This window comes from Homo sapiens, chromosome 15 (assembly GCF_000001405.40).
Source record: "Homo sapiens chromosome 15, GRCh38.p14 Primary Assembly".
NCBI classification, from domain to species: Eukaryota; Metazoa; Chordata; class Mammalia; order Primates; family Hominidae; genus Homo; species Homo sapiens.
The window spans coordinates 67587085-67599588 of record NC_000015.10 but is presented as its reverse complement, the minus strand read 5'-3'; the positions used below and the strand labels follow the sequence as shown (position 1 = coordinate 67599588).

General features: G+C 40.0%; 1 protein-coding gene across 8 annotated transcripts in view; it reads right to left on the bottom strand.

Annotated features, from left to right (window-relative positions):
* Positions 1-12504, bottom strand: part of MAP2K5 (mitogen-activated protein kinase kinase 5) — a 264412-nt gene that overhangs the window by 207526 nt on the left and 44382 nt on the right. For all 8 annotated transcript variants that reach the window (XR_007064474.1, NM_145160.3, NM_002757.4 and 5 more), the window contains exon 7: positions 6615-6663. Coding sequence is in view for 7 of the 8 variants with exons in the window: in NM_145160.3 (NP_660143.1) it covers positions 6615-6663 (49 nt within the window). In the remaining variant the exon portion in view is untranslated. The remainder of the gene's footprint in view (positions 1-6614; positions 6664-12504) is intronic.

Sequence of the window (12504 nt, the reverse complement as noted above, 5' to 3'; positions counted from 1 at the left end):
AGTATAGCAAAGCTTTAAATATTTTGCTCTACTCTAAACTTCCACCAATTGAATAAAGCAAGGGTTCATTTACCAAGGGAAATATTTTCCTTCTACACATTTCTGAAGTTGAAGCTTCAGAGAGCTGTGATAATTAGGAGTACAATGCAGGTAACAGAAACAGCTTCTTTTCCAAGCCATTTTACCAATCCTTAAAAGAATATTGACAGATTAATGTGTAAAGGCCAATCCAGCACCCAATTTAATTGTAGTACAACCAGACTGATGCCCTTTACAATCAGCTAATTATTATATTTAGGGTCAGTGAAGTAATGAAAGACATGCCAGAACAATTGGCAACTATTTTCCTATTTGAGGGGAATTCTGTTCATCACTACCTTTATACTACTAATACAGAAAAAAAATATTTTAAGCTGTATAAAAGGTGTGGCATAAACAAAATAAAATCTCATTATTCTGGACCGAATGATAAATTTTAAAGCAGCATGAAGAAAAGTAGCACATAAAGTGACGAGATGCTAAACTAGCAGAGTTGCTGTTTGGTTTACTTTGATCAATGAAGGAAACGTAAATAGCAGTATCCATTGGTGGGCACAAATAGGCCACTGGGGCTAATTCCCTTAGAACATTTCTCTAAGTAATCTAAACATGTCCGTAACAACCTGATTTGTACTATTAACTAACAAGCTACACTCTCATCATGGCTTGACATAAATTTCTACGAGAGACATTTCACTCACTCAAGTACACAAATTCTGCATTTGTGGCACTAAGGTTTAAGAGTAAGCAGGAAGTTGCTATGTAGTAGATAGAGTCTACACTCTGGAGGGGCCACAGTCTGCAGTCATATCCCCTCCACCACTTCATAGGCAAAGGGGTAGGTATGGCATGTCTCTGAGCATGTTCAAATGGTATAATTCTGACATCATAGTCTTTTTACCACTTACATCCACTACAGGGAAAAGAGAAGGGAAGAAGCTACCCAATCCACATTCCCAGCACTCCAACCTAACAAGGAGTAGTAAGCATCCAACACTGTCAGGGCACAGGCGGGGAAGGAGTGCAGGGAGGAGGAGGGGAGAGGGAGAATGTTTATTTCAAGTGTATGTGCATGTGCATTAATTAACACTGTCTAAACAAATTCAAGAATGGAAAAAATCAAGACAAATATGGAATCCTTCAGATAACCAGGAGGATTGCAAGAGTCTCATAAAGATAAAAATGGTTTTGAAGAGCAAGTTCTGGAACCATGTCACTTAGTATCTATAAAAAGTGAGCAACGTGTTCCTATAATGTCTTTCTACAATGTTTTAAAGTTATGCAAACCTTTGGCCTGTGAACTGATTGACAGTTTTTTAGTTTTAGTTTTAGTTTTTTTTTTTTGGAGATGAAGTCTCACTCTGTCACCCAGGCTGAAGTATAGTGGTGTGAACTTGGCTCACTGCAAACTCCACATCTCAAGTTCAAATGATTCTCCTGCCTCAGCCTCCCGAGCAGCTGGGATTACAGGCACACGCCACCATGCCCGGCTAATTTTTGTACTTTTAGTAGAGATGGGGTTTCACCATGATATCCGGGCTGGTCTCGAACTCCTGACCTCAGGTGATCAGCCTGCCTCAGCCTCCCAAAAGTGCTAGGATTACAAGCATGAGCGACCACGCCCGGCCTGACTGTGTTTTAATATTAAAAAATATCAGATTCTTTTTCTTTTTGCTTATTTGTATTTTCTAATTTTTATATGCTGTACAAATACTCCTCATGTAAAAAAATTTGGGGGGGATGGGAAAAACAAAGCAGAGCCCAAGAATTGATTACAAAAAATATTTTTAGAACTTCATATCTCTTATCAAATGGGCTAATTTAATTGATCTTAACTATGAAAAAATCATTAAAGGGATCTACAATCAACCAGTAGTATTTCTGCTTTTTTCATTTAGATAAGGATATTAATTCGACTTTTCAAAATGAAGCATAGGAAGAGTGTTCATTATATAAGAAAGTGCTATTTAGAAGCTTATGGAATATTGTATTTAAATATTATAGTTGGGATCAAGTATCATTTAAAAAATCACAGAAATTTACAGCATTCTAAGACCATTTAGTCCACTTTACTTAAGTTACATAGCTAGTCAAAAACTCAGTCTTTCAGTATACTCCAGTTCAACATCATAGCTCAGCAGTTTGTCTCCGGTATTAAGTATGGAGGGACATTCCTATCAATGGCCACTGGCCCACAGGATGGTAAACAATCAACTGAAAGACACAAGTTAAAAGAAATTTCATTAGCTACGATGTTAGTTTTTAAGAAGAAAAATGTTTTTAAAATCACACAGCTCTTTAAATTGAAAAGAGGTGAAGGAGAGCTTTTTATTCAACAACAATACCAAGTAGTTTTTTTTTTTCTTTTTTTTTTCTTTTTTTGAGACAGATCTCACACTGTGGCCCAGGCTGGAGTGCAGTGACGTGATCTCGGCTCACTGCAAGCTCCGCCTCCCGGGTTCACGCCATTCTCCTGCCTTAGCCTCCTGAGTAGCTGGGACTACAGGCGCCCACCACCATGCCCAGCTAATTGTATTTTTTTAATAGAGATGGGGTTTCACCATGTTAGCCAGGATGGTCTTGATCTCCTGACCTCGTGATCCGCCCGACTCGGCCTCCCAAAGTGCTGGGATTACAGGCGTGAGCCACCATGCCCGGCCAATTCCAAGTAGTTTTTAAATACAGTCCAGGTTCCTTGTTTTGACTAAAAAAGTAAATAAAAGGCAGAATAATAGATGTGAAGGAGGAGGAAGAAAAAGCCACAGGAGTTACAATTACATGTCAACTGCCAAGATAGCAAATGACCTTAGAGAAATGACTGGCACTGAGCTCTGCTCCTGCTGAAAGAGAGGCAGGGGCCATAAAAGAAACAGAGACAGCAACAACCCATGGGCAGAGTCAGGTTGGGTTTGTGTGGGTAAAGGAGGGCTGTTGTGTAGTTTGGACTTACATACACAGCCTCATTTATGTTTCACTCTTCATATGCAATCCAAGATGAACTGTAAGAATCTAAGAGTTACATATACTAGTAATGATACAGTTTTTAAACTTTTTAAATTTTACAGTAGATATATATTCCCCCTCCCTTTTTTTTCTATATACAAAAAGGTTTTCCTGTTGTTGTTGAGTTTTTTTTGAGACAGAGTCTTGCTCTGTTGCCCAGGCTGGAGTGCAGTGGTGCAGTCTTGGCTCACCGCAACCTCTGCCTCCTGGGTTCAAGCTATTCTTATGCCTCAGCCACCTAAGTAGCTGGGCATGGGCCGCCACACCCAGCAAATTTTTTGTATTTTTAGTAGAGAAGAGGTTTCACCATGTTGGCCAGGCTGGTCTCAAACTCCTGGCCTCAAGTGGGCCTCCTAAAGTGCTGGGATTACAGGCATGAGCCACCACGCCCAGCCAAATACAAAAAGTTTTTCTAGAGGCTTTTTGAAGTTATCAAAATAACAGCCAAAAGATGCAGCTGGACCAGAATTAGTTCTAGATCTGATCTGAGTAGATTTATACTTGATTTATCAGGAATAGGAAAATACTGCCACCCTCTCCTATAAAATCTAAAAAACAAAAAAAAAAAAAGAAAAAATAACTTTAGAGATGCAAAGGCCAAACTCACATATCTTTGGAGTAACTGTGCACTTTTTAAATTCTTCAAATTGACACTTTGGGCTATTTCTAATGAGTTTCAAATCAAGGGCCAATGTTAAACAGATGATGCCACACTATAACTGAAGTAGGAAAAACAAATCCAGAAAACACATCAGTGAGACTGATTTATAGCTCTCAATAAAACTTGCCAAAAATATCTTCTGATTTATTTTTTTAAGCTGGAAAAATGGAATTACTCCAACATAAAGTGATAACAGGAAAACAATGTCTCCATTCCAAAGACTAAGTGTTAAACTTTTTTTAAAGTGCTTGATTTAATATATTAATGAAATTAATGGAAAAAATGAAATGGAATTCAATTATGGATCAACACAGAAAATATTCTTTGTTTATTGTCTGTGTTAAGAAGAATCAGTACCTATCGCTTATAAATCATTAAAATAAAAATGCTCAATTAATCCTTATTTTATATGTAAAGGTCTGACAGAAACTAGTCCCATCACTAGACCTTTGCTTCACAAATCGAAGCAATAATGGTTTCAGAAAGCAGTCACACTCTATGAGCAGACAATTGGAGAGATTTAGTAAATCCCACTTTATAGAGCAGAGACTAATCGGAAAACACAGGCCAGTCAAATGTTTCTTATGAACTGTTGACACTATATCAATGCTGAATCAATTGGTGGCATTTACTCTGAGTGACAGAAAAGAAATAAATATTTATATCACATAACCTATATCAATGAACCCAGGCAGAAAGCTATTTCTAACTTGTCAATATTTGATTATCTTGAAGAATCATGTCCCTTTCTTTTAATGATTAATATGAATTCCTTATTAAATCTAAGTGGAGGCTAGTGGAAAGGCAAATCATTATTAATGCTTGAGAGCATAAACCACTAAAATAAAAAACTATGCTCAAGTGTTAAAGTATCATTAAATGTGACTTTTATCTTCCCTATCAAGTGGTGTCAGTGTTCAGCCCAGAAATTTATTGATGCCTACAACTGTGCACAGTACCTCACTGCAATGCAATTTCACTCACTGTTTAGTTATCCTATAGCACTGAGGAATTAAGGAATTAGAAGGAGACATTTTGAAAGCTTCCAAAGGTGGGTTTTTTTGGTTTTTGAGGGAATTTTTTGAGTGCAAGTAAATGTAAGAAAGGCTAATCCTTATAAAGAAAAAAAAAGCCATATTATTTAATATGAGGTTATCACATTCCCAAGGGAAAGCAATAAACATTTAAGTGTCAAAAATCCTTGCCAGGACAACCTCCCACCATATAGAGAACCTCATAACTGAAGCCACTAAGATATCTATGGTACTAGGCTTACTGTCAAAACATTATGAGACTGCTTATTTTTGTCAAAACATTATGAAAATGCTTATTTTTTGCAGTGGAAAAAACTGTTTTTCATTTTTGAAAGAAGAGTCTATGACAGGTTATTTTCCATTGTCTGGGCTGGACAAATGTAGTTAAAGCTTCTTAATTTATGTCAATTTTGAAATATATTTTCCAGCTGAAGAACACAGTGACTCATACATAAATTACAATTAGTAACTAGAATGCAAGCATGTTGAAGATACATAAATATCCTAGGCTCAATATTTTTGCTTTTAGTCAGATTTTGTTTATATATGCTGGTTCTAACAAAATATAAGGCACTGAGGTGATACAGATGTGGACCTCAATCTAAACAAACCTTTGGCTGCTGAAAGTTAAAGGTATTCGATAAATACTATCTAAAATGTTGAGACTACAAAGATTATACATACACCACACTAGATTCTCCTTAGCTGTATATAGGATATTTAAGGACTAGAATTCACATACTCTGGATGGCAATCAGATGTCAGAAGCAGATCAACTTCATTTCTTCTAACTGTATTCAAGGAATTGTGTGCTAAATAAGCAAGGCCTCCAGAAGCACTACCATACAGCACTGTTTTAAGGCATGCACATCTATTAGGCCACAATGTTACAGGTGATATTAAAGGACAGGCATGAGGACCTGGCTTTGTCTTCTTGACATGCTCCACTACAAGTACTTGATTCATGAAATGCCAGTGAGGCTTGGAGAGGTCAGTGTGTGAAGGCACTGAATAAGCATCTGAGATAATTAAGATTTCAGCCTTCGAAACATGGACGGGAAGTGAACAGCAGTTAAGAAAATCAATAAGAGTCTTTTATTTGCAGTGACACAGATGTCTCAGTCAATACAGCCTAATAGGCAGGCTTGATCGCAATGGACAGGCGCCTGCCTCCAAGGCTATCAAAGGGCTTCCACTATAACAAACATTAAAACGCATTTATGTTGCTACTGAAGAATCGAGGACCCTGTAGGTAGCTTAATTTACCAGTGTATGTTTAAAAGCACTCTACTATTTCAGATGTGTCCATTTACTTGAATCAAAATTAGTAAGAAATAACTGGCCTGAAGGCTTGTTTGTCCCTCACTGGCTGGGTTAGGTCATTCAGCTTTAGATGGCCAGTCTACTAGGCAAACTAAGGTCTCCTGAAGGCCAGGAATTTTATATGCCAAAGGTCTGCTGTCACTCTGCCTCCCTAAAAAGCCAGTGTTAGTTTCAGGACAAAAGAAGGAGCTAAGGTGAGAAAGTAATGGTTTTTCCTTTTCTCCCCAAAGATAATGAAAGAAACAGTCACCTCAGAATGCAGGGCCATTTCAACAGCCCACGAGTTGACACACTTGTTCAGAACTGATTAACTTTTTAAAAACTGAGATGGCAGCAGGGTGTGTGCATGGTACTTCAATCTGCTGGGAGTGAAACCCATTAGCACAGTTTGAAAAACGGGCTGCAAATTGTTCTGCCAATCAAATTAAGCCATGTTATTCATTTATGACAGGAAACTCACAGACTCTTTATCTGTTTAATAAGCTTATGGATACAAAAACTGGACGGTAATATGTTATTATTATGTGAAAATCTTAATATATAATAATACCTACCTGGCCATTGGCTAGTATTTTTTTCAGTTCAGCAGAAGACTTCTTTAAGCTGAAAAGGAAAGATAATTTTTAGTGGCAAGATCATCAACACCTCTGAACACCACTGAAAATTCCAGACTGAAATACACCTTTGCTTTTACATATAGGGATTGAGCATATTCTTCACATCCTTCTCCCAATGTAAATTTTTTTCAAAAGTAACTGGCCAAATGCAAAAGGTATCAAATAAAGAGACTAAAACCCTGTTAGTAATCAAAAGCAATAAAGAAGCCTACAGTCAAGATGAAGCTACAATATCTTATGAACTACTTCAGTGACATTTTTATGGTCATTAGTTCTACTGCCTTTAGATAGCCTTTCAGAGGCAATTTCATGTGGACAATGTCATCTGCTAAGCACTAATATTCACAGCAAATAAAGATTATAGAACTTCAAAAGACAAAATAGATAATTTAAGTCCTGGTCTCTTACACAGTTAAAAGTTATAATTCAGCTTCCTGGGAAGCAAATATGTAGTACAAATAAATCCTGGTATTCACTAGCTGTGTGATCTGGGACAAGTTACTTATCCTCTCTGAACCTCAATTTCCTCTTTCTGTAAAATGGGGAAAATACCAATTTTATAGGGTAACCAGAAAAATTAAATATTACAAAAAATCTAGCACTGTGTCTTGTCCATAGCAGGTGTGTTTTTACAAATAAAATTAATAAATTTTAGCTGGTTTTCCTTTCCTATGGGTATGAGACTCAGCTCCCAGAGTTATTTAGGAAGTATTAAAGTGTTTTCTGAACATATATGACTATGTTAACACTCATATGGATGAATTTAGTGAAAGTCCTTTTTTTTTTTTTTTTTGAGACATAGTTTCACTCTTGTTGCCCAGACTGGAGTGCAAAGTACAATGGTGCGATCTCGGCTCACCACAACCTCCACCTCCCAGGTTCAAGCGATTCTCCTGCCTCAGTCTCCAGAGTACCTGGGATTATAGGCATGTGCCACCATGCCTGGCTAATTTTGTATTTTTAGTAAGCTGGGGGTTTCTCCATGTTGGTCAGGCTGGTCTCAAACTCCCGACCTCAGGTGATCTGCCCGCCTCGGCCTCCCAAAGTGCTGGGATTACAGGCGGGAGCCACCACCCCTGGCGTGAAAGTCCTTATTGAAGAAAAATGGTAGTCAAGGGGAGCTCTTAAGTCATCTAGCTTTATAATGAGTTATACCCGTGAATATCTACCTGACTAGTAGAGTAGCATTTAAAATAGCACCTTCCCCCAGCAATGTTCTATTTGAGATTTAAAGCCTGTTAAGGGGCCGGCGCGGTGGCTCATGCCTGTAATCCCAGCACTTTGGGAGGCTGGTGCAGGTGGATCACGAGGTCAGGAGATTGAGACCATCCTGGCTAACACGGTGAAACCCTGTCTCTACTAAAAATACAAAAAATTAGCCGGGTGTGGTGGCCGGCGCCTGTAGTCCCAGCTGGAGGCTGGGGCAGGAGAATGGTGTGAACCCAGGAGGCAGAGCTTGCAGTGAGCCAAGATCGCACCACTGCACACCAGCCTGGGCTACAGAGCGAGACTCCATCTCAATAATAATAATAATAATAAAGCCTGTTAACTCTACTTTTTTTTTTTTGAGACAGAGTCTCGCTTTGTCACCCAGGCTGGAGTGCAGTGGTGTGAGCTCAGCTCACTGCAACCTCCGCCTCCTGGGTTCAAGCGATTCTTCTGCCTCAGTCTCCCAAGTAGCTGGGACTACAGGTGCATGCCATCACGCCTGGCTAATTTTTGTATTTTTAGCGAAGACAGGGTTTCACCATGTTGGCCAGGCTGGTCTCAAACTCCTGACCTCGTGATCTGCCCACCTTGGCCTCCCAAAGTGCTGGGATTACAGGCATGAGCCACCACACCCAGCCAACTCTATTCTTAACCTATCCACTTTAGCCCTTTACCTACCTACCCATGCTAGTTGTCAGTATAGATGTCTTTCTTCCTACCATACCCTCCCCCAACAGGGGAGAGTCTGGGAGCTCCCTGAGAACACAGACACATCTTACGTATTCTATATACTCCACTCTCTTCTCACCCTTAAATATAGCCCAATGACTTGGCATATGCTAAGGGTTCCATAAATGGTGGTCGCTGCTCTGGTTATTATTATACTGTGGTGGCAGTAGTAGTAATGCAGTAAGACATTAAGATCATAAATACATCAGAAAACAAAAGGGGCCAAGCACAGCGTCTCAAGCCTGTAATCCCAGCACTTTGGGATGCCAAGGAAGGAGGATCGCTTGAGCCCAGGAGTTCAAGAACAAGCCTGGGCAACATAGTAGGGCCCCATCTCTAAAAAAAATTAAAAACTTAGCCAGGCATGGCGGCATGTGCCTGTAATCCTAGCTACTCGGGTCACTTGAGGCCAGGAGGTCGAAGCTGTGGTGACCCGTAATTGTGCACTCCAGAATGGGGGGGTGACAGCAATGAGACCCTGTCTCAAAAAGAAACAAAGAGAGAGAGAGAGAGAGAGAGAGAGAGAGGGAGGGAGGGAGAGAGAGAGGGAGGGAGGGAGAGAGGGAGGAAGGAAGGAGCAAGAAAGGAAGAAATGAAAAGGAAAAAAAGAGAAAGGACTCAAGACCTAATATGAAATACACATATTCCATTTGGCACCTTTAATAGGTTACATTTGAGAGAATCTCAGACTTCAAGTTTGATCACATTTTACCACTTCAAGTTATAATTACTCTTCTTTCTAAATACATCTTAAACTTTTGCTATGGTCAAATGTAAACTATGGAGACTGAGTCCCTATTTTCCTAGATTTTATAAAGCATGTCTTCATCCAAGGGTTCTTGACTTTAATGTCCCACCACATCTAAGAATCGATGCACTAAAGTGGCAATTAACAATTTTGTAGAATAGGATGAAAGCTGAAACATATATGGAAAAAATACACAGCTGCCTAAAATCAGTCCAGTTAACATAATAATAGCAGCTGCTATTTATCAAGTGATGACCATGTGCTAGGCATTGTGCTAAATGCTTATTATCCTAATTTAATCCTTATAATAACTATACTTTAGGTATAGTTATTATCCCTAATTTATAAAGGATACTAAAATACAGACCTCTAAGGTACAGATCTTGCTCGAAGTCCATCTATCTCTTATACACACACACACACACACACACACACACACACATACACACACACACATTTTTTTCTGGGAAACATTCAGATCCTAGTTTTCCCACAAATGACTCCCAGTTGATAGTTCCAATTATTGTAAAGATGCAAATAACCAAACAAAGCCCAGGCAAGGTTTCTACATAGATATTCCATTATGTTATAAACTTGAATTAATAACATTTTGATTCATTGCATTTATAGAATGCCTTTCATCCAAGAAATAAAACGTGATTCCTAATACAGCTTCATCAATCTTTCTAACACCAGCAGTAGATAGATGGAAAGTTTAATCATCCTAATTTACAGAAGGAGAAAGCTAAGTAGTTTAGGAAAGGCCTTGCCTTGGCAATGGGACTTGAATTCAGTAATTATGGCCTAGGAACACCATGTGCATTAGTAAACCCAGTTTAATAAACAGTTATTCACCTAAGGCAAAAGAAAAAACAACCCATGCTTTGAGAGTAATAGAGGAAAATACTGTTTCATTCATTATGCTAGTATCTGGCTATCAACTTTGTCTGGTTAAAAAGAAAAAAAAAAGAAAAAATTGTATCCTGGCAATTTCTCTGTGACTCACTTTACTCAATATTTCATTCATCTGCATGTTCACGGTGACCTAAGCTATCCAAAAATCACTTTTAAAAACATTTAAAGGCCAGCTGTGGTGGTTCATGACTGTAATCACAACCCTTTGGGAGGCCAAAGTGAGAAAATTGCTTGAGCCAGGAGTTTGAGACTAGCCTAGGCAGCACAGTGAGACCCCGTCTCTACAAACTAAAAATTAAAAAAATTTAAAAAAATAAAAAAAAAACACTTAATCAGGGATTGTGGTGCAAGCCTGTAGTCCCAGCTACTTGGGAGGCTGAGGTGGAAGGACCACTTGAGCCCAGGAGGTCAAGGCTGCAGCGAGCTGTGATTGTGCCACTGCACTCTAACTTGGACAACAGAGGGAGATCCCATCTCTAAAAAAGTAATAAAATAAAAACATTTTAAAATTTAAATGTGTTACAACTGTAACTTGAGTACAACACCTGAAGAGAGACACTGAGATATCCAAAGAAGAGAAAAGGATGAGGGGACTAGAAATAATGTCATATCAGAAAAGATGAAAGAGCTGGGAGAATTTAGTCCAGAGGTAAGATGTAAAAGAAATACAAGTAATTCATACATACATTCATGCATTCATTCATTCAAACATGATTGACTATAATCTATGTGGCAAGCATCATGCTGGGAATTGGAACTTTGTCAATGAATATGCTACAGTCACTGCCCTCAAATAGTATAGAATCTACTGGAGGACAGGGGTGATTATAATACAATGTGCTCACTACTACAATACAAGGAAGAAGGGAGTATCATAGGAATTCCTAGAGAGGTCCCTGGTGTGCACTGGGGATGGGTAGTAATCAGGGACAGTTCTCAGAAGATAATTTAGTCCTCAAAGATAACCAAGGTTAGCCAGACTGAAGGTCAAGGTGGGGATGAAAAGAAACAGGAAAACGGGAAAATGTGCAGGCCCAGTAGAGAGAAGAAAGTGATCCATTCAGGGCACTATGTGTTCATCAGCAAAGCTGGAATGTCAGGTGGGATGGGGTACAGAGGTGGGCCAGCAAGCTGGAGTACACAGAGCACCCATATGTGAAGGGCTCTTCACTGCTCACCTGCTATGGAGGTTACACTTCATCTTGAAAGCATGAAGAGCAGTGAAGGTTTTAAAGCAGGGAATGACTGCAGCTCAGGACTGTACACTGGCAAGATGGCTCCAGCTGCAGGGTGGAGGAGGGGCTGAATGGGCCAAGAACGGAGGGAGTAGACTCTCAGGAGGCTGTGGCAGTGATCTGGAGAGCTGGAACCACCCACACAGCAGCAGGGATGCTGGCGAGTAGAAAGACGCAGAGCTACTCAGAAGGTAGAACCCACAAGTGTGGGGACTGACAGGGTGTGGCACTGAGGGAGGCCTAGGAAGCAGTGAAGGAGGACTGACAAGTTATCTGGAGTTAGCAATGGACTGGATGTGGGAGAATTTACTGAGACAGAAAATCTAGAACTGTGTTTGGAGGGAAGACAACTGGAAGAGCTGTTGACCTGGAAGAGGGAACAACCACGTTCTGAGGGCTTAACTAAAACGTTATGAGTGGGCGCTATAGAAAGACAAATCTCAGCTCACAAAAAAGAGCCTTCTGAGATGTAGCCAAGTAAAAAAGGGAAGGAGCTGCGTTGGCTGATAAAGTGCATTCCTCCGACAGGGATGTTCAGTAAGAGATTTGATGACCATTTGGCAAGGAGTAGGAAGTCAAACATTAAAGGAGGGCAGGATTAGATGGGAGCTTCTGCTCATTCGCCACACCACAGGCAGAGGATCTTTTAAAAACACAGGGCTGGCCATGTCCCTCTCCTACTAAAAGCCCTCTAACTGCTAGCCAGTGCACCAAAAGGAAAATTCAAACATTACAGGGCCTACGAGGCCCCGCATGATAAGTCCTGTCTACCTCCTTAGCTCCTATCACTCCTATTGCTCTCTCATCTCCTCTCTCCAAATCCCTTCCCCAACCCAGCACCCCTCCCTGTGCCAAACTGGCCTACTCACAAACATGCTGAGCTCCTTCTCCACCTCAGGGCCTTCACCTACCCTCTTCCCTCCGTCTGAAACGCCCTTCTCTGCTTCTTCAGGTCAAAACAGAAACGTCACTCTCCCCAGAGAGCCTTCTC